This window comes from Homo sapiens, chromosome 13 (genome assembly GCF_000001405.40).
Source record: "Homo sapiens chromosome 13, GRCh38.p14 Primary Assembly".
Taxonomy (NCBI): Eukaryota; Metazoa; Chordata; class Mammalia; order Primates; family Hominidae; genus Homo; species Homo sapiens.
The window spans coordinates 52,012,330-52,033,603 of NC_000013.11; the positions used below are offsets into that span (position 1 = coordinate 52,012,330).

The 21,274-nt window shown below is 41.6% G+C and overlaps 2 protein-coding genes across 3 annotated transcripts, besides 2 other annotated features; both read left to right on the forward strand.

The window, feature by feature from the left end:
- Positions 58-187: an enhancer, noted in NCBI's record as "active region_7785". NCBI's record gives its function as "activates an Ori minimal core promoter by ATAC-STARR-seq in GM12878 lymphoblastoid cells {active_cell/tissue: GM12878}" and the evidence as "EXISTENCE:reporter gene assay evidence [ECO:0000049][PMID:35858748]".
- Positions 69-21,271, forward strand: ALG11 (ALG11 alpha-1,2-mannosyltransferase). Of its 2 annotated transcripts, NM_001004127.3 has the most exons (4): positions 69-133; positions 6,584-6,814; positions 11,677-12,608; positions 15,990-21,271. In NM_001004127.3, the coding sequence occupies exons 1-4, from the start codon at positions 90-92 to the stop codon at positions 16,259-16,261; spliced, it is 1,479 nt and encodes a 492-aa protein (NP_001004127.2). In that variant the 5' UTR covers positions 69-89; the 3' UTR covers positions 16,262-21,271. The 2 variants fall into 2 exon arrangements, 1 of the variants encoding a protein (NP_001004127.2); NR_036571.3 differs by lacking the exons at positions 6,584-6,814; positions 11,677-12,608.
- Positions 238-327: an enhancer, noted in NCBI's record as "active region_7786". NCBI's record gives its function as "activates an Ori minimal core promoter by ATAC-STARR-seq in GM12878 lymphoblastoid cells {active_cell/tissue: GM12878}" and the evidence as "EXISTENCE:reporter gene assay evidence [ECO:0000049][PMID:35858748]".
- On the forward strand, positions 12,362-21,271 carry UTP14C (UTP14C small subunit processome component). Its single transcript, NM_021645.6, has 2 exons — positions 12,362-12,608; positions 15,990-21,271. Exon 2 carries the CDS (start codon positions 16,476-16,478, stop codon positions 18,774-18,776), a length of 2,301 nt encoding a protein of 766 aa, NP_067677.4. The 5' UTR covers positions 12,362-12,608; positions 15,990-16,475; the 3' UTR covers positions 18,777-21,271.

Consider the following 21,274-nt stretch of genomic DNA (forward strand, 5'->3'; position numbering starts at 1 on the left):
TGGGGGCGGGGCGAGCACGGCTTGCTTTCTCAGGAGCCAATAGGGAAAAGGAAAGTGAAGCGTTTCCTGAGTTCGGGGGTCGGCGGAAGATGGCGGCCGGCGAAAGGAGCTGGTGCCTGTGCAAGTTGTTGAGGTGAGCAGCCGGTCGTGTGGGCTCACAGACGTTTTCTCTTCTGTAGGGGTACTTGCCCGTCCAGTGTAGCTAAATTTTGCGGGCAAATGGCCTTCCTTGTCATGAATCTAAGGTAATTTCTCAGGCCAATGAGCAGTCTTTCTTTTTCTTGGGGGTCTTCTATATAGACTGGAATAGACTAGGTCTTAAAGACTCAATTTACCGCGTTTTCTTCTGCTTCACTGTTGGCCGAGGGGTCGAGTTCCCTTCCCTGCTTCAGCTTTTTTTTTCCCTTTCACACTCCAGTTAGTCTGTCATAAATTATTCATATTCATTCCTTATTTTTCTTTACGATTGAGCCACGAGACATTTTCCAATCTATCATGTCTCTTTTCGGTAAAGAAGAAACCGGATCTTCCTTCTCATCTTAGTTTCTACTCTTAAACTCACCAAAACTGCCATTGTTAACACGTCACTTAAATATAAAGCTTATGTTGAATCCTCTGCTTTTTGATAATCTGTTACTTTAATTTTTATGATGTAAGAAGTTACATAAAATATTATTTTATTTGTATTACGTGTATATGCTGTTTCTTCTAGAAAAATTAGAAAATAGATAAGTAAAAGGAAAAAACCCCAGGAATGCTACCATCCGGAGATAGCCACTGTTAACATTTTGGTGAAAAAACTCCCAGGCTTTTTTCCACCTTTGTTGTTGTAGTACTACTGTATTTTAAATGCCTTGCCCTCCACTAATAAAACAGAAGGCCTAGTATATTCTACCTACCTAGTTTTTTTACCACCTACATATTTTTGTTCAGGCTGAAAATTTATAATTAACACCATAGCTTCCTGAATAGCAGTATATACCTAATTCTTTCAAAAGTTCAGGCATTTCTTCTTCGTTTTTGTCCACTCTACTTCAAATTCTGTAATCATTACTTTAAACATTTTGAATGAGAAAGTCTGTTATCAGAGCCTTTTGGTTCTTCCCTGTCATACGTAATATTCCTCAGTGCTTTACATTATAATGTTTAAATAAACTCACTAACCAGACTTAAAGGACAGGTTTAACTTTAGTTATTATGCAGCTTTTAAGTTAAATGTTTAATAGTTCAGTTTGAAAAGCTTGTCACATGAATTTTCCCACCTAAATTATTTGAAGGAATTGCCAGAAAAACCTTTACATTATATGGGTCAGCTGCATTTTAAATAAGCTTTTGAAAGAGTGTCCTGAGAAAGCAAACTGTCCTCTGTAGTGTTGCTTTTATGAATTCATATATTCCAAATGTTAAATAAATGATAAATCTTACCACTTTTGTCAGACTCTGTTCATCCTTTAAGGCAGTGGTTCTCAAATTGTGCTCCATGGACCATGCAGGTCCCAAGGCCCTTCAATGGATCCTCAACAAATCTGTTTTTATAATAACATTAATGTAATATTTGCCTATTTTACTATGTTGATAAGTGCAAAAGTGATAGCGGATAAAACTAAGTGATAGTGGATTTTAATTAACAGTGTGAAAAGGTCATTGATAGGGTTTCAGAGTCTGTATTGCAACTGACATTAAGAAACTGCATAACTTGTCAAATGTGGTCTAGCATCAGAGAAGAATATCTGTAACTAGCTGAAAAGTTAAATATATTTTAAACATAAGATCAATATATATTAAAATATACTCCCTTTTCCTACTACATGTCTAAGTTAGCCTGAATTTTCTTCATATACTTCAACAAAAACAACATATCACTAGATTGAATGCAGAAACAGAAAGGAGGAGCCACTATCTGGTTTCACGTTAAGCCAGACATTAAAAAGATTTGCAAAAAGTGTAAATCATTGGCACCCTTCTTGCTAAATTTCTTTTTTTGGTTTGGAAAAGATAGTTTTTTAATAAAAATATGTTAATGTGTTATGAAAGAATTTTTATTTTCAAATGAATTCATAAAAAGTTTAAAGTTCTTTAGTTTTCATTTCTAATATGCTAAATATTGGTAGATATAAGCAGTGTAAACCACTGGTTCTCAACCAGGGGTGATTTTTGCCCTTCGCAAGACATTTGGCATTTGGCAATATCTGGAGGGCTTTTTTTTTTTAATTTTTTTTTTAGAGATAAGAGTCTTGCTCTGTTGCCCAGGCTGGAGTGCAGTGGCATGATCATAGCTTACTACAGCCTTGAACTCCTGGGCTCAAGCAATCCTCCCACCTCAGCCTCCCAAAATGTTGGGATTACAGGCATGAGCCACCATGCCCAACTGATAATTTTGATTGGGAGGGTGCTACTGGCATCTAAGTGGGTCAAGACCAAAGATGCTACTAAATATAATACATAGGACAACCTCCGCAACAAATAATTATTTGGTCCAAAATGTCAGTAGTGTCAAGGATGAGAAACTCTGATGTAAACAAAAGCTCTATTGTATCCTCAGTAAAATTTTTAAGAGTATAAAGGTGTATAAAGAATATAAAGACCAAATTATTTTAGACCAATTATTTCAGCTTTGAAATAAAGTGCTCATGTGGGATTTCAAATAGAGTCAAATACCTCTTCAAGTACACAGTAGGAAATCCCACATGAGATTTGTTCACAATAGGAACAAATGAGGATTTGTTCACAATAGGAAATCCCACATGAGAACTTTATGTCAAAACTAAATATCAATAAAATATTTACTTCTGGCCAGGTGCAGCAGCTCATGCCTGTAATCTCAATGCTTTGGAAGGCCAAGGCAGGAGGATTACTTGAGGCCAAGAGTTTGAGACCAGCCTGGGCAACATAGCAAAACCCTATTTCTACAAAAAACATTTTTTTAATTAGCTGGGTGTGGTGGCATGCACCTGTAGTTCCAGCTTCTCAGGAGTCTGAGGCAGGAGGATCGCTTGAGCCAAGGAGTTTGGGGCTGCAGTGATTGCTATGATTGCACCACTGCACTTCAGCCTGGGTGACAGAGTGAGACCCTGTATCTAAAAAAAGCAAAATTTACTTTTCTGATGAATTTGTATGTTTTCATGTGGGCAGTGAAAACTATGTGATATGGTTTGGCCGTGACCCCACCCAAACCTCAAGTTGAATTTTATCTCCCAGAATGCCCACATGTTGTGGGAGGGATCCAGGGGGAGGTAATTGAATCATGGGGGCCAATCTTTCCCATGCTATTCTCGTGATAGTGAGTAAGTTCACGAGATCTGATGGGGTTTATCAGGGGTTTCTGCTTTTGCTTCTTTCTGATTTTTCTCTTGCTGCCACCATGTAAGAAGTGCCTTATGCCTCCCGCCATGATTCTGAGGCCTCATAGCCATGTGGAACTGTAAATCCAATTAAACCTATTTTTGTTCCCAGTTTCGAGTATGTCTTTATCAGCAGCGTGAAAATGAACTTGGTACCATAAATTAGTACCAGTAGAGTGGGGTGCTGCTGAAGAGATACCCAAAAATGTGGAAGCGACTTTGGAACTGGGCAACAGGCAGAGGCTGGAACAGTTTGGAGGGCTCAGAAGAAGCCAGGAAAATGTGGGAAAGTTTGGAACATCCTAGAGACTTGTTGAATGGCTTTGAACAAAATGCGGATAGTGATATGGACAACGAAATCCAGGCTGAGGTGGTCTCAGATGGAGATGAAGAACTTGTTGGGAACTGGAGAAAGGTGACTCCTCTTATGTTTTAGCAAAGGTACTAGAGGCATTTTGCCCCTGCCCTAGAGATTTGTGGAACTTTGAACTTGAAAGAGATGATTTAGGGTATCTGGTGTAAGAAATTTCTAAGCAGCAAAGAATTCAAGAAGTGACTTGGGTGCTCTTAAAAGCATTCCATTTTAAAAGCGGAACAGAGCATAAAAGTTCAGAAAATTTGCAGCCTGACAATGCAGTAGAAAAGAAAGACCCATTTTTTTAGGAGAAATTCAAGCTGGCTGCAGAAATTTTCAAAAGTAGCAAGGAGCCTAATGTTAATCCTGAAGACCATGGGGGAAAATGTCTCCAGGCAATGTCGGAGACCTTCATGGCAGCCTCTCTCATGGCAGGCCTGGAGGCCCAGGAGGAAAAAGTGGTTTTGTGGGCCAGGTGCAGGGGCCCTGTGCTGTGTGCAGCCTAGGGACTTGGTACCCTGTGTCCCAGCTGCTCCAGCCGTGGCTGAAAGGGGCCAATGCAGAGCTAGTGCTGTGGCTTCAGAGGGTGAAAGCCCCAAGCCATGGTAGCTTCACATGGTGTTGAGCCTGCGGGTGCACAGAAGTCAAGAATGGAAATTTGGGAACCTCTACCTAGATTGCAGAAGATGTATAGAAACGCCTGGATGCCCAGGCAAAAGTTTGCCACCGGGGCAGGGCCCTCATGGAGAACCTCTGCCAGGGCAGTGCAGAAGGGAAATGTGGGGTTGGAGCCCCCACACAGAGTCCCTACTGGGGCACTGCCTAGTGGAGCTGCGAGAAGAGGGCCACCGTCCTCCATACCCCAGAGTGGTAGATCCACTGACAGCTTGCACCGTGTGCCTGGAAAAACCTCAGACACTCAACGCCGGCCCATGAAAGCAGCCAGGAGGGAGGCTGTACCCTGCAAATCTACAGGGGCAGAGCTGCTCAAGACCATGGGAACCCACCTCTTGCTTAAGCATGACCTGGATGTGAGACCTGGAGTCAAAGGAGGTCATTTTGGAGCTTTAAAAATTTGACTGCCCCACTGGATTTTGGACTTGCATGGGCCCTGTAACCCCCTTGTTTTGGCCAATTTCTCCCATTTGGAACAGCTGTACTTACCCAATACCTGTACTCCCATTGTATCTGGGAAGTAACTAGCTTACTTTTGATTTTACAGGCTCATAGGCAGAAGGGACTTGCCTTGTCTCGGATGAGACTTTGGACTGTGGACATATGGGTTAATGCTGAAATGAGTTAAGACTTTGGGGGACTGTTGGGAAGGCATAATTGGTTTTGAAATGTGATGACGTGAGATTTGGAGGGGCCAGGGCAGAATGATATGGTTTGGCCATGTCCCCACCCAAATCTCAGTTTGAATTGTGTCTCCCAGAATTCCCATGTGTTGTGGAAGGGACCCAGGGGAAGGTAATTGAATCATGGGGGCCGGTCTTTCCCATGCTATTCTCATAATAATGAATAAGTCTCATGAGATCTGATGGGTTTATCAGGGGTTTCCGCTTTTGCTGCTTCCTCGTTTTTCTCTTGCCCACTGCCCTGTAAGAAGTGCCTTACACCTCCTGCCGTGATTCTGAGGTCTCCCCAGCCATATGGAACTGTAAGTCCAATTAAATCTCTTTTTGTTCCCCGTTTTGGGTACGTCTTTATCAGCAGTGTGAAAACGAAGTAATACACTGTGTAACTACACAAAACATCCCCTATTTGCCTAGGCTACTGAGCAGCCCAGAGCCCAGTCTGCTATTCACTACTATGTATGTAAATACAGCCTGCATACCTGTGTCCATCATCAACCACCATCCCAACATACACACCATCTTTATTCTATTTTCACTGGTCCTGACTTTTTATTATTTAACTTTTGGCATTTTATTGTTTTTAAATCTTATAAGCCCTCCTCAAATCCTTTATAAAGGATAGGCAGAGTATGAAAAATATTAAGTTAGATTCCAACTGTATTGGCAACCCTAAAAGAAAAGCACCTTGGCATTTTATTTTAACACATTTTAAGCAACATCTGAAGACGTAATAAACTTTTGCATCCGTCATATATTCATTGGATGCCTTCTCTGTGCCAGGCATCGTACTTGGCATTGGGGACATGGTATGAGCAAGCCTGGGCCCTTGCTTTTGCAGAGCTTCAATCGACCTGACAGCAATGGAGAACCTTTTAACAGTCACTTTGTGAATGAGTTTACTAATGAGTATTAAGTAGAACATTAGTGGGTTTTTGGCAGCTCATTCAGAGGTACATAAGGGAAGGTAGTAGTATTAGATCATGTAAATAGAGCAAATACAGAACTGGAAATAGAAGTGGAGAAATCTAAGTTCCATTCCTTTATCCCAGAAATTGTTCTACTTGAGGTGAAGTGATGGAATGAAAAAGATTTACTATCTTACCAGACTTTAGTGGAATATTGATCGTTCAAAAGACATATTTTTTTTGGCATCTGACCCTCAAAATGACAGTATATAACACATTCTTAATCATGTCTTGTTTAGATTAATAGTTAAATTTGTTTTAATCCCATAACATATATACTAAGTCAGGAGAAAGGGGGTTCAATGTTGATTTTTACTGCTGATTAAAGTATGTTCAATTGGTAACATGCTACAGGAATTGGAACTAAAGGGGACTTATCCTTTCAATGTTGGATATTTAGCAGCATTAGAATTTTCATACTTGAGTATTTTGTTAGCAGACTCGTTAAAGACAATTCTCTCTTTGTTACTAATATATAAAGTAGATATGTAAAAGCAGACTTTAATTTGTAATTTTTTTAATGTATATATCACATTGATTCTCAACTTTGTCCTCTTATTTCAGGTTTTTTTATTCATTATTCTTCCCTGGGCTCATTGTATGTGGAACTTTATGTGTGTGTTTGGTCATTGTCCTTTGGGGAATCAGACTGCTGCTACAGAGAAAGAAAAAATTAGTGTCAACTAGCAAAAATGGGAAAAATCAAATGGTGATTGCATTTTTTCATCCATACTGCAATGCTGGTGGAGGAGGAGAAAGAGTTTTATGGTGTGCTTTAAGAGCCCTGCAGAAAAAGTAGGTATCCATCTTTCTTAGCTAATTTGCTATATTGTTCCATTTCTTAAAAATTATTATCCAGAAATTCATCTTTTTTTTTTTTTTTTTTTTTTTGAGACAGAGTCTTACTCTGTCACCCAGGCTGGAGTGCAGTGGCACGATGTCGGCTCACTGCAAGCTCCGCCTCCCAGGTTCATGCCATTCTCCTGCCTCGGCCTCCCGAGTAGCTGGGACTACAGGTGCCCGCCACCACGTCCGGCTAATTTTTTGTATTTTTAGTAGAGACAGGGTTTCACCATGTTAGCCAGGATGGTCTCGATCTGCTGACCTTGTGATCCGCCCACCTCGGCCTTCCAAAGTGTTGGTATTACAGGTGTGAGCCACCGTGCCCGGCCTCATCTTTCTAAAGTACCTAAAGTAAAAAATGAATTCCTTTTTAAACTGTTCTTCAATAAGAAAATATTTCTTTCATGTGCCCACATACCTTATATGATCTTATTTGACTTTAGTTACTATGATAAAGAAATAGACAAACCCAGGCATGGTGGCTCACACCAGTAATCCCAGTACTTTGTGAAGCCGTGGCAGGTGAATCACTTGAGCCCAAGAGTTTGAGACCAGCCTGGGCACCATGGCGAAACCCTGTCTCTACAAAAAATTATCTGGGCATGGTGATGCGCACCAGCTTCTCCAGAGGCTGAGGTGGAAAGATTGACTGAGCCTGGGAAGTCAAAGCTACAGTGAGCCATGATTGTGCACTGACTGCACTCCAGCCTGGGTGACAGAGTGAGAACCCGTCTCAAGGGAAAACAAAAAAGAAAGAAAGAAATGGACAGTGGATGGGGAAAACATCTGCCCTTTTATGGCATAAATTAATGGGAATAACTGGTCCCCTTGGGAGAGCATATACAGAAGAGATTAAGTAATTGACAGAAATATACCAAGTATGTCAGAGCACTTTAAGCCTGAATACTTTCAGGCAGTTGTGGCACACAGGAATAATCTTTATGAAAGTATCTATTTGACTCAAATTTTTATATCATTACCAGCTGGATAGTCTCAACTTACCATGTTAGAAGGAATATGGTGTTATACATCTTTTAATATTTGAGGCTTCGTCATCACCACCCCCCATACCCCCAAAATATTTATGATTCTCTTTTAGAAAGGAAAAAGCATAGTAGGTTCCATTATTTTATCATATGAGGAAAACTGTTACTCTTCATGGTTACCCTACTTCCTGGTACACACCCTTCATTCAGTGCCAAGGCCTTCACACAGAATTACCTCAGCTATACTTTTCTGTAATCCTGGCCCATCCTAGCTTCCAGGCCCTACCCCTGTATTTGCTCTGCCATCTTCTGTAACTGCCTAAATACAAAGAATTCTCATAATTCCCAACTCCGTGATGCTTTTCCTACTCTCGTTGATAATACTTTTTTCTTCTCTAACCAGATTATCTACCTCTTGATGGCGGTGGTAAAGTTTCATGATATCTGTACACATAGTCCCCAGCAGCCTCTATTACTCCTAACCCATCTACAAGGAGAAAAAAACCAAATCATTAATATGACTTGGAAGATACTTTTTCATCTTGCTCTGGCCACATTGCGTTTCTCATCCCTCCCCATTCCTTCACAGGTACTTTACTCTGACATGCAGAACAAGGAGCAGCTCCCTGAACACATCATGCTCTCTCTCGAGTCCTTCCCTTTCTATATAGTGTTCTTTTCTTCTGAAATAACCTTTTTCTCCCCAGTTAATTTCTACAAGCCTTTCCTAACTCAACACATACTACAGTGCACTTTTCATTCGACCTAGCAGTATTTATTGGGGACCTGCTATGTGTCAGGCACTGTTCTGGGGGTTGAGATTAAGAGAACAAGATCGATCAAGTCCTTCTCTCCTGGACGTTTGATTTTAGTTGAGAGAGACAAGATAATAAGCAAAGAAGAAAAATATCAAATAGTGAGACGTGCTATATAAAAAGTTAAAATAGGGTAATATAGGAGTGACTTGATACTTTAGATAGAGTGATCAGGGAAATATCTGATAACAATCAAAATCTGAATGACAAAAACAGCTGCATTCACTGCGTGATGATTGTATGTTAGGTATTGTTTGAAGTGCTTTACATGTGTTAGCTCACTTGATCCTCAGAACAGCCTTTTGCAGTTGTTACCATTATCCTCATTTGACAAAGAAGAAAACTGGGGCACTAGAGCCCATGTTCTGAACCACATGCTAAACTGCCTGCCTTATGAAAAGACAGTGAAAATGAGAAAAGAGAATTCAGAGTAGAGAGAACAACCACTGCAAGTCCCCTAAGGCTGGTTGGAGCTTGGCGTGTTAAAAAAAAAGAATGCCAGTTTGGCTGCACCCTGGAGGGCAAAGGAGAGCATGGGAAGGGAGGTGACAGAGGGAGGCAGGTTCCAGATCACACAGGACTTGAGTGAGCAGGGAAATTAGTTTAGATTTTATTCTAAGTGCTATAGTAAACCAGTTTTGGGGTTACTGTTCTGTGACATGGTTTAGGGGCTGCCATGTTTGGTCTCCATCATACTGTTGCAATTAGATGGCAGCTGGGGCTGGAGGCATCTGAAGCCTTTTTCACTCACATTCTGGTTCTTGGGCTGGGATAACTGGACCTGCTGGGGGCTGTCGGGCATCTCTCTCACTGAGGAGCTTCTTCATGTGACTTGGTTGTGCTTGCATACAACATAGCAATCTCGGGCTGGTTGGACTCCGTACATGACAGCTGTCTTCTCCTAGCATGAGCATTCCAGGAGACAGGAAGTAGGAGCTGCCAGTCCCTTAGAGTCTATGTTGGGAAACTGGCACAATGTCACTTTTGCCATATTCTGTTGGTCAAAATAGTCACAGAGCCAGGTGTTATTCCAGGGGAGGGGACTTAGATGCCACCTCTCAGTGAGAAAAGTATCAAAGAATTTGTGGCCCGTCCGGGCACAGTGGCTCACACCTGTAATCCCAGCACTTCAGGAGGCCAAGTCTGGCAGATCACTTGAGGCCAGGAGTTTGAGACCAGCCTGGTTAACATGGCAAAACCCCTTCTCTACTTAAAAAATACAAAAATTAGCTGGGCATGGTGGCACACATCTGTAATCCCAGCTTCTCAGGAGGCTGAGGCACGAAAATCACTTGAACCCGAGAGGTGGAGGCTACAATAAGCCAAGATCACGCCACTGTACTCCCGCCTGGGCGACAGACAGAGCGAGACCCTGTCTTAAAAAAAGAAAGAAAAAACAAATGGAATTTGTGGGCATTTTTAGGCTACCAGAGATCACAATCTTTTTTCACATTTTAAAAGGCTCATTCTTGCTGCTGGGTAAAGAGTGACTGGGAAGGGGCCAGAGAGGAGCAGTTAGATTGTCATCCTTTAGGCTTCCCCAGCATCCTGTGGGTGTCTTTATCAATGCGTAGCACACAGTTTTGCAGTTATTTGTTTTGCATGTCTGTTTTCTCCACTGGACTGAACTTCTGAAGATAAAGACTCTCTCTCATCTCCATACCCCCAAAACCTGGCATCTCATTACTAGATGCTTAATAAATTTGTTTTTTTTTTTTTTTTTCAGATGGAGTTTCATTGTTGTTGCCCAGGCTGGAGTGCAGTGGTGCGATCTTGGCTCACCACAACCTCCGCCTACTGGGTTCAAGCAATTCTCCTGCCTCAGCCTCCCAAGTAGCTGGGATTACAGGCATGTGCCACCACACCACACATATTGGTCAGGCTGGTCTTGAACTCCTGACCTCAGGTGATCCACCCGCCTCGGCCTCCCAAAGTGCTGGGATTACAGGCGTGAGCCACTGCACCCAGCCAATAAATGTTTTATGACTCAAAGAATAATTATAAACAGAGGGAGACCAAAGTATTACAAGTCATTAAAGAATATACTTTTAGATATTTTCATACTAATTATATCTAATTGTGATATAGGCACAAGATCTAGCTTTTAAAGACTTGCATTTTTCAGATAAAAACCCTGAGTATTGCTTTAGTATTGTGATCCTATCTGAAGACAGGTTTGTTGAATCTTAATTCTTGTTTATAGTATTTTATTACCATTTTTTTTACTAAGAACACTGTCAAAACTTTTTAGTATTTCTTTAGACCATCTCATTCATAAATCAACACTTACTGTTGATGCCTGTTCTGTGTGAAACCCTCAGTGGAGGAAATAGCAAAGAACTAGAAGTCATGGTCTCATTTGAAGGACTGTACTTCTAATTCAATAAAAAATGTAGAAAACATCATTTTTAGTATGACCAACATGGAGAAACCCTGACTCTACTAAAAATACAAAATTAGCCGGGCGTGGTGGTGCATGTCTGTAATTCCAGCTACTCGGGAGGCTGAGGCGGGAGAAGCACTTGAACCCGGGAGGCAGAGATTGTCAGCCAAGATGGCGCCATTGCACTCCAGCCTGGGCAACAAGAGTGAAACTGTCTCCAAAAAAAAAAAAAAAATCAAATCTTCTTTATAACTGTAAGAAAATAGTTATCTACAACTTTTTGCTTGATTTTAACCTAATATATTCTTTTTTTTGTTTTTGTTTTTGTTTTTTTGAGACGGAGTTTCACACTTGTTGCCCAGGCAGGAGTGCAGTGATGCAGTCTCGGCTCTCAGTCTCTCAGGGTAGGTAGCAGGCTTTTTTTTTTTTTTTTTTTTGAGATGGAGTCTCACTCTGTCACCCAGGCTGGAGTTCGGTGGCATGATCACGGCTCACTGCAACCTCCGCCTCCTGGGTTCAAGCGATTCTCCTGCCTCAGCCTCCTGAGTAGCTGGGATTACAGGTGCGTGCCACCGTGTCTGGCTAATTTTTGTAACTTAATATATTCTTAACCATTACATTCTATTTTAGGTATCCTGAAGCAGTTTATGTTGTTTATACCGGCGATGTTAATGTCAACGGTCAACAGATACTAGAAGGTGCTTTCAGAAGATTTAACATCAGATTAATTCACCCAGTGCAGTTTGTTTTTTTAAGGAAACGCTATCTTGTGGAAGATTCACTGTATCCTCACTTCACACTGCTGGGCCAAAGTCTAGGATCCATTTTTCTTGGCTGGGAAGCTCTAATGCAGTGTGTTCCTGATGTTTACATTGATTCAATGGGATACGCTTTTACGCTTCCTCTGTTTAAGTATATAGGGGGTTGCCAAGTTGGAAGCTATGTTCATTATCCTACTATCAGCACCGACATGCTCTCTGTAGTGAAGAATCAAAATATTGGATTTAATAATGCAGCCTTCATTACCAGGAATCCTTTTCTCAGCAAAGTAAAGCTCATCTACTACTATTTATTTGCTTTTATTTATGGACTTGTTGGTTCTTGCAGTGATGTAGTCATGGTCAATTCTTCTTGGACACTAAACCATATTCTCTCACTATGGAAAGTTGGGAATTGCACTAACATTGTTTATCCACCTTGTGATGTGCAGACATTTCTGGACATTCCCTTACATGAGAAAAAGATGACCCCAGGACATTTGCTGGTTTCTGTTGGCCAGTTTAGGCCGGAAAAGAATCATCCATTGCAGATCAGAGCCTTTGCTAAATTGCTGAATAAGAAGATGGTTGAGTCACCTCCTTCGCTTAAACTTGTCCTCATTGGAGGTTGTCGTAACAAAGATGATGAACTTAGGGTAAACCAACTGAGAAGGCTGTCTGAGGATTTAGGAGTTCAAGAATATGTGGAATTTAAAATAAACATTCCATTTGATGAATTAAAGAATTATTTGTCTGAAGCAACAATTGGTCTGCATACCATGTGGAACGAGCATTTTGGGATTGGTGAGTTTGGCCTTTAAACAACTTGTTTGGTGCCATGAGATACACATTTTAAGTTCTTTTGATAAAATGATAATACTCTGGAAATCTGCATCATGCCCTAATTCTCTTGCCCTCATCCACCAAATGTGCTTTCCTCACTTGAGACCTTGTAAGATAGTAGTTAATAATAGCAGCTAGTATTTATTGACCAATTCCTGTGTGTGGGCCACTGTGTTGAGATTTTTACATGTATTATCTAATTTAAGCCTTTCTAAACCCGTTTGATAGGTGTTATTGTTATTCCCATTTTATAAATAAAGAAACTCAGGCACAGGAAGGTTTAGAAATTGCTCGAGTTCAGTTACACAGTAAGTGGTAGAGCCCGGATTCTAACCCAGATAGCCCCTGCTCTTAACAGCAACATTTTCTCTCTCCATCTAACCCCACTACATACTTACTGGTACAGATTCCTGGGCCCTACCCTAATCCTACAGAATGGCCAAATGAGAATCTCTGGACAAGGCCCAGGTAGATGTATTTTGATAATGCTGCTTAAGTGATTCTGTTATGCATCAAAAGTTGAGAACCACTGTTTGCATAGGGGCTTCTCACAGTAACTCTTTTAGTCTTTTATTGATTCTACCCTCACCATTGGAATGGCTCTCCTCTTTGTGCCAGATTGCATCATAAGTCTTCAACTTAAATCTCCTTGCACTTTAGCCTTTCTTGTTTATTCTGGCACAAACTGCTATCTCTATTCTGACCTGTTAAGCACACATTTTGCTATAAAATCAAGTACTGCTTTGTGTTTAATTTGGGTCCACATATATTTCTCAAGCGCTTTGTGCCTCACACTGTTAGTTGTTAGGGGAAATGAGGATAACATAAAAGTGACATTTCCTAAACTAAGACTTCAATTTCTCTTATACTCTTTTTACTCCTAGTTAGTAGTGTAGTGCTAGGCCCAGACATTAAGCAAGAACTTGTTGACCCAACCTGTTGCATGGGATCTGACCTCCTGTGCTTCCTTCCATAGAAACTTACTAAGCATTCACTCTGCTGAGCGCTTGGGTGGATGCTAGGGATGTGGTGGAGACAGGAGCTGCTTGGCCTGTCAGAGGCTTCCCACCCTCTGGTGGTACCAACAGGCTACACAGGCAAGTGCCGTGCCGTGCTGTGCCGTGTGCCAGGTGCTATGCTAAGGAAGTGCAGGGTGATGTGAAAGCGCCAAAGAGAAACCTAACACAGACTTGTGCGGGCAGGGAACAGTTGCCCAAGGAAATGATGTGACACTTGAGCAGGACCCGAACAATAGAGGTTAGCCAGGAGAGAGGGGAGAGTCTCCAGCAGAGGGAACAGCACTGTGACAGGAGTGACAACAGATGCATCAATAGGAACATTCAGCAGGAAGACAACAGAGAGGTGATATAGGCCAGGTTAAGCCAGTGGAAAAAAATAGCAGGATTTTAAGTATTGCACGTAAAAGCTTTCTGATTTCTCCAGTCCATTCTGGCCACATGGGGAGTGGATCAGTGAAGAGCAGGGAGAGCAAGACTGGAAGGGCAGTAAGATGAGCCGGCCTACTGTAGCAGCCCAGATGGAGGTGCTCATGAGCTGAACTTCGTAGGTGAACATGCTTGAGAAACATTCTGCAGTAGTATTGACCAGGACTTGGTGATTAACTGGATGTGTTAAATGAGGGAGGAAGAGAAGACTACCTAGGGTTTTGGGAGCAGGGCAGCTGTGAGAATGGTGTTGGCTTTCTCCCAGAGGGGAAATCCAAGAGCAAATGCCATTAATGAGCCAAGTTTTGAACCTGCAGAATTTGAGTTCATCTGTGGGACATGTGAGGGCATGCGTCCAGGAGGTAGTTTTGTATATAGGAGTCTGAAGTTGAGAGGAGTCTGGTCTGGAAATAAAAAATGAGGATTGTCCTTGTGCAGGTAGTTATCAAAGCTCCCGTGGATGTGGTTAAGATCGCCTGGGGAATATGTACAGAGTGAAAAGAGGCTCTCAGTACAAAATGCAGAGAACAGGAACAGCTGAGAAATGGGGAGAAGAAATGGAGAGGCGGGGAAAGCCATCCAAGTGCAGTGTCTTAGAAACCAAGGAAGAGAGTGTTTGGAGAAGAATGGAGAGGGCACAGATTCCGATGCTGCCCAGATGCTGGGGAAGGTAAGGCAGTCACTGGTGACCTGGGCAAGAGCAGTCTTGAGGGAGAAGTAGAAGCAAAAGTCAGACTATGAGCAAAAATCAAAAGTCAAGCACTCAGAAGTGAACAAGTAGAGTTGGTAAGTGCAAACCACACTTTCAGTAAGTTTATCTGTGAAGTACGGGGAGGGGGAGAAGAGACAGTGGCTAGGGGTGGGTGTTGCAGGACCTGAGAAAGGGCATGTGGTGCCCTAGCTTCCTAGCTGATAGGAAGGAGCCAGTAGAGAGGGAAAGGGTAAAAGATGCAGGTCTCTGAGAAAGTACAGGATGCTCTCCAGCTTCAAGCAGAATATGATATGAGCTACTGAATTCTGTTCTGCAGGGATTTCACCAGTTCTAAAAACATTTGGAATGATTTAATTTCTCTCCTATACATCCAGGATGATATCAGCTCTGTACCATCCTTCAGATAATTGGGAAAGCAGTCACTTGAATCATTCCCTGAAGGGCTTAATTCTCCTAGGAATATGGCTAAGAAGGGCTGGCTAGAGTAATTTATATTTCATGTGTATCATTTGGCAGAAACTAACCACAACTTTCATTTAGTTCAGCACTGTTGTTGGGCATGCAGTAGTCTCAAATATGCCAGAAATCCAGGCAGTAACATAAGCACGGCGATAGTATGCTTCACTTAGGTGATTCACTTTTTTATTTTTTCTGCTAATGTAATTTGAACTATTAAAATTGTTTTTTATATGTTTTTACTCCTTTTGTTTTTCTAATACCTGTTAATATTCTACCATCTTGCTAACATTCTCTAGTCTTCTTTTTTAATTATCTGCAATATATCTTTTTTAATAGGCTAGTCTTCCATCTACTTGTCTATTTTAACTAAGAATAAAGCAGCAGGCTGGGTGTGGTAGCTCACGCTGGTAAATCCCAGCACTTTGGGAGGCCAAGATGGGAGGACCACTTGATGCTAGGAGTTAGAGGCCAGCCTGGGCAACATAGTGAGACCCTATCTCTTAAAAAAAAAAAAGTGAAGCAGTATTATTATGAAGCTTTGAAAACTAAAAAACTTAAAATTATTTTATCTTGTACTGTAGAAGTTGAATAAGCAAATGTCTAGACATACATTTAATTAAGTTTCTCATAAGTCCCTTAAATTTTTTGAAGATTTCTATTCATCCTCATTCTTATGAACACACTCAAAAACTTAAAAGATTACATGATTTGTGTTTTTTTTCTCAGGAGTTGTGGAGTGTATGGCAGCTGGCACAATTATCCTTGCACACAATTCGGGGGGCCCAAAGCTTGACATTGTGGTTCCTCACGAAGGAGATATAACTGGCTTTCTGGCTGAGAGTGAAGAAGACTATGCTGAAACTATCGCTCACATTCTTTCCATGTCTGCAGAAAAGAGACTCCAAATCAGAAAAAGTGCTCGTGCATCTGTAAGCAGATTCTCTGATCAGGAATTTGAAGTGACATTCCTATCATCTGTGGAAAAGTTATTTAAGTAATGCCATATCTGTAAAATTAAAGATATTTTATATAAACTGGTTAAACACCTTCATATGTAAATATTTTTCTAAATTCAATCTCATTTGTCAAATCATTTTACTTTAGAAAACAGACAAAATTTCCTTTTAGAATAAAAGGAAGTGTTGAAAAGAAAATGGATGACTAGCCTTCGGCTTCCATTCTTGGTATACATGAGAGAGGCTGGCTGCTGAGATGAATGTGAACCAGGTTGCAGAGAATCTGGCTTTGAGCCACCAGGAAGAACTAGTGGATTTGCCAAAAAACTACCCCTTGAGTGAAAATGAAGATGAGGGGGACAGTGATGGAGAGAGAAAGCATCAAAAGCTTCTGGAAGCAATCATTTCCCTTGATGGAAAGAATAGGCGGAAATTGGCTGAGAGGTCTGAGGCTAGTCTGAAAGTGTCAGAGTTCAGTGTCAGTTCTGAAGGATCAGGAGAAAAGCTGGGCCTTGCAGATCTGCTTGAGCCCGTTAAAACTTCATCTTCTTTGGCCACTGTAAAAAAGCAACTGAATAGAGTCAAATCAAAGAAGGTGGTGGAGTTACCTCTTAACAAAGAAAAAATTGAACAGATCCACAGAGAAGTAGCATTCAGTAAAACCTCACAGGTCCTCTCCAAATGGGACCCTATCATCCTGAAGAACCAGCAGGCAGAGCAGCTGGTTTTTCCCCTGGGGAAGGAGCAGCCAGCCATTGCTCCCATTGAACATGCGCTCAGTGGCTGGAAGGCAAGAACTCCCCTGGAGCAGGAAATTTTTAACCTCCTCCATAAGAACAAGCAGCCAGTGACAGATCCTTTACTGACTCCCATGGAAAAGGCCTCTCTCCAAGCCATGAGCCTGGAAGAGGCAAAGATGCACCGAGCAGAGCTTCAGAGGGCTCGGGCTCTGCAGTCCTACTATGAGGCCAAGGCTCGAAAAGAGAAGAAAATCAAAAGTAAAAAGTATCACAAAGTCGTGAAGAAAGGAAAGGCCAAGAAAGCCTTAAAAGAGTTTGAGCAGCTACAGAAGGTTAATCCAACTGTGGCACTGGAAGAAATGGAAAAAATTGAAAATGCCAGAATGATGGAAAGAATGAGCCTTAAGCACCAAAACAGTGGGAAATGGGCCAAGTCAAAGGCAATTATGGCCAAATATGACCTGGAGGCTCGCCAAGCTATGCAGGAACAGTTGGCCAAGAACAAAGAACTGACACAGAAACTCCAGGTAGCCTCTGAGAGTGAGGAAGAGGAGGGAGGCACAGAAGTGGAAGAACTCCTTGTCCCTCATGTAGCGAATGAAGTGCAGATGAATGTGGACGGACCGAATCCCTGGATGTTCAGGAGCTGCACCAGTGACACCAAAGAGGCTGCAACACAGGAGGACCCTGAGCAAGTGCCAGAGCTTGCAGCTCATGAGGTTTCTGCAAGTGAGGCAGAAGAAAGACCAGTGGCAGAGGAAGAAATTTTGTTGAGAGAATTTGAGGAAAGGCAATCCCTTAGAAAAAGATCTGAGCTCAACCAGGATGCTGAGCCAGCAAGCAGTCAAGAAACAAAAGATTCTAGCAGCCAGGAGGTGCTGTCCGAATTGAGGGCACTATCTCAGAAATTGAAGGAAAAACATCAGTCCAGGAAGCAAAAAGCAAGTTCAGAGGGGACTGTTCCCCAGGTCCAGAGAGAGGAACCTGCCCCAGAAGAAGCGGAACCCCTATTGCTACAGAGGTCAGAGAGAGTACAAACTCTGGAAGAGCTAGAAGAGCTGGGAAAAGAAGATTGTTTTCAAAATAAGGAGCTTCCCAGACCTGTGTTAGAAGGACAGCAGTCAGAGAGGACCCCAAATAATCGGCCTGATGCCCCTAAGGAGAAGAAAGAGAAGGAGCAACTGATCAACCTACAGAACTTCCTGACCACACAGTCTCCTTCCGTGAGGTCTTTGGCAGTTCCCACAATAATAGAGGAGCTGGAAGATGAAGAGGAGAGAGACCAAAGGCAGATGATAAAGGAAGCTTTTGCTGGGGATGATGTCATCAGAGATTTCTTGAAAGAGAAGAGGGAAGCTGTGGAGGCGAGTAAGCCAAAGGACGTGGACCTGACACTACCTGGCTGGGGCGAGTGGGGTGGTGTGGGCCTAAAGCCCAGTGCCAAGAAAAGACGCCAGTTTCTCATTAAAGCCCCTGAGGGTCCTCCAAGAAAAGATAAGAATTTGCCAAATGTGATTATCAGTGAGAAGCGCAACATCCACGCAGCAGCTCATCAGGTACAAGTGCTTCCATATCCATTTACCCACCATCGGCAATTTGAAAGGACCATCCAGACCCCTATAGGATCCACATGGAACACCCAGAGGGCTTTCCAAAAGCTGACTACTCCCAAGGTCGTCACCAAGCCAGGCCATATCATTAAGCCCATAAAAGCAGAGGATGTGGGCTACCAGTCTTCCTCAAGGTCAGACCTGCCTGTCATACAGAGGAATCCAAAACGAATCACCACACGTCACAATAAAGAAGAAAAACTGTAGGTTGTGTAGCTGGAGAAGTGACAGTCAGGGGCCCTGATTCCACTTCCTTTGGTCCAGTTTTACTCTGCTACAGGGTGGATTCCAAAACTGGCTCAGCACATTGCATGTAGTTGAGCCACATTTTTTAAAAAAAGAAAATGGATGACCATTAATTGACTAGCATTTTAGAATTGATCAGACATTAGAACACAGAAAAATTCTAGTACATTTAAATTCTAAACAATACAGTGGATGACCCTTTTGAATATACCTAATGATTTCCTTAAAAAAGAAATTTTAAACAGACTTGTTTAATCGTGTTCTCAAAGCATACAGTCAAGAGGTGGGACTGACTGATGCTTTATAGGTGTGTGTAGGGTGGTAGAGGCCAAGGTGCTGCCAGCAATCCTTTCCATACTAGGTACTGGTGAAAATTGTTTTTGTTTATGCTGTCAGCACATTTGTGTGGGTCTCTCATTGTCCCTTAACAGTGCCGCATCTCAGCCTGGAAGTCAGCTTTAAGTCATTCAAGAGAACCTCAGGCTGTTTTTCTGACAGTGATGATATGATATACAGATACATCCACAGGGTATCTATTACCAGCATAATGCATTGTAAGATGGCAAGGTGGCATTTTGAAAGAGCGCTGGGCAAGCAGTTAGCACATCTGGGCCTACCTTCAGCTTCTTCATTTACAAACTTCTGACCTTTTGACACTAAAGCTGCTCCTTTATCTTTCTGAGTCTCAGATTCTTCATCTGTAATCTGGAGTTGTTAATTCCAGTCCTTACTACCTTTTAGAGTTGGAATGAGATGGAAAGTAGATGAAACTACTTTGAAAATTACGACAGTTAAGGGCTGGGTGCGGTGTCTCACACCTGTAATCCCAGCACTTTGGGAGGCCGAGATGGGTGGATCATGAGGTCAGCAGTTGAGACCAGCCTGAACAACATGGTGAAACCCTGTCTGTACTAAAAATACAAAAAAATTAGCTGGGCCTGGTGGCAGGCACCTGTAATCCCAGCTACTTGGGAGACTGAGGCAGGAGAATTGCTTGAAACTGGAAGGCAGAGGTTGCAGTGAGCCAAGATTGTGCCACTGCACTCTAGCCTGGGCAATAAGCAAAACTCCATCTCAAAAAAGAAAAAAAGGAAAAAGAAAATTATGAGAGTTACTTAAAGGTAACATCACATACTAAATGTCTTCTATAATCCTATATTTATTAATGCATTACAACTCTGTAGATTGTTAGTTACTAGGCCAGTAGCTAGGAATTGGTATAAATTTAATGCACCTTCTATCCTGAATAACTAGCATGGAAAAGTGAATATATGTGTGAGCAGATATGGCTATAAAGACCTATAGCTTTTGCACTTTATGCATATATAATCAATCCTTTCTAGTTCAGTGAATTGACCCCATCCACAGGCTGATTCATCTTTGTGTTAAGGGGCAAATGAAACGGTATATTATTTCTTTGCAGTCTCCTCTCAGTCATTCATCAATGTGGCCAGCTTATCTACTCCCAATTATGTTGTTGATACATCTCCAAGCCATCTGTCATCAGATCAAAAAGCAGCAAACAGAGGGTCAGTCACAGGATGTTCTGACACACCATTGTAACTTTTTGTTAGAGATGATCCCATTTAGAAAAAGACTGGTAGAAATTGGAGTGAAAGGAACCCTACAGATTAGCCCAGTTCTCTCTTATTTTCAGCTTTACAGACAAGAACAATTTAAATCTAAAGAATTTAGTAGATTCCTTCAGTGTCACAAAGCTGTTTCATGAAAGAATCAAGATTATAACCTGGATATTCTGACTCCTGGCCCAGTGCTTTTTCTTACTTTGTAGCTACACTTTGAAGTAAGATTCAAACTGTTATCCACTCAATTGCCTTATTCCTGAGGATGTAGTGAAGGAAGAAAAAGTTTTCTGGAATTCCGTAAATTATATTTTAAGCTTATTTCTTCAAAATTATTTTCATATATCACAGATATATCATTGGAAGATATAATTTGCATATATGTTCATTATCAGTGTTCCTAATTTGGTATTACATGTATTCTATTTTTTTCTGAATGATAGCATGAAAAGTGTCAAAGTGGTTTGTCCGCTAGCGTCTGTCTGCAGAACTTTCAGGATGACTATTAATTCCTCTCAGATGTCATTTTTGAGTGGTCCAAGCCTGCTGTTTTGAACCCACAGCAGTGGAGATTTGTATTCTTATTTACAGTTGTGTACTATAAAGTGTGTGTTACATAGGTTTTGTGTAATAATTATTTGTAAATATTATTTAGATTTGTATTTAGACATGATTTATATCTAATATAGATACAAAGTCTGTGTCTAAATATTATTTAAAGAAGTGATTTTTCATTCTCTTGGATTCTTTCCAGTGTGGTGCCTTTTATATGCCTCACATAGTCTCCTTGTTCTCCTACTAATATTCCCAAGCTCCATATGCCAATTAAAGAAGAAACAAAAATAAAAGTTTGTCTTGCTTGTGAAACATTAAGAA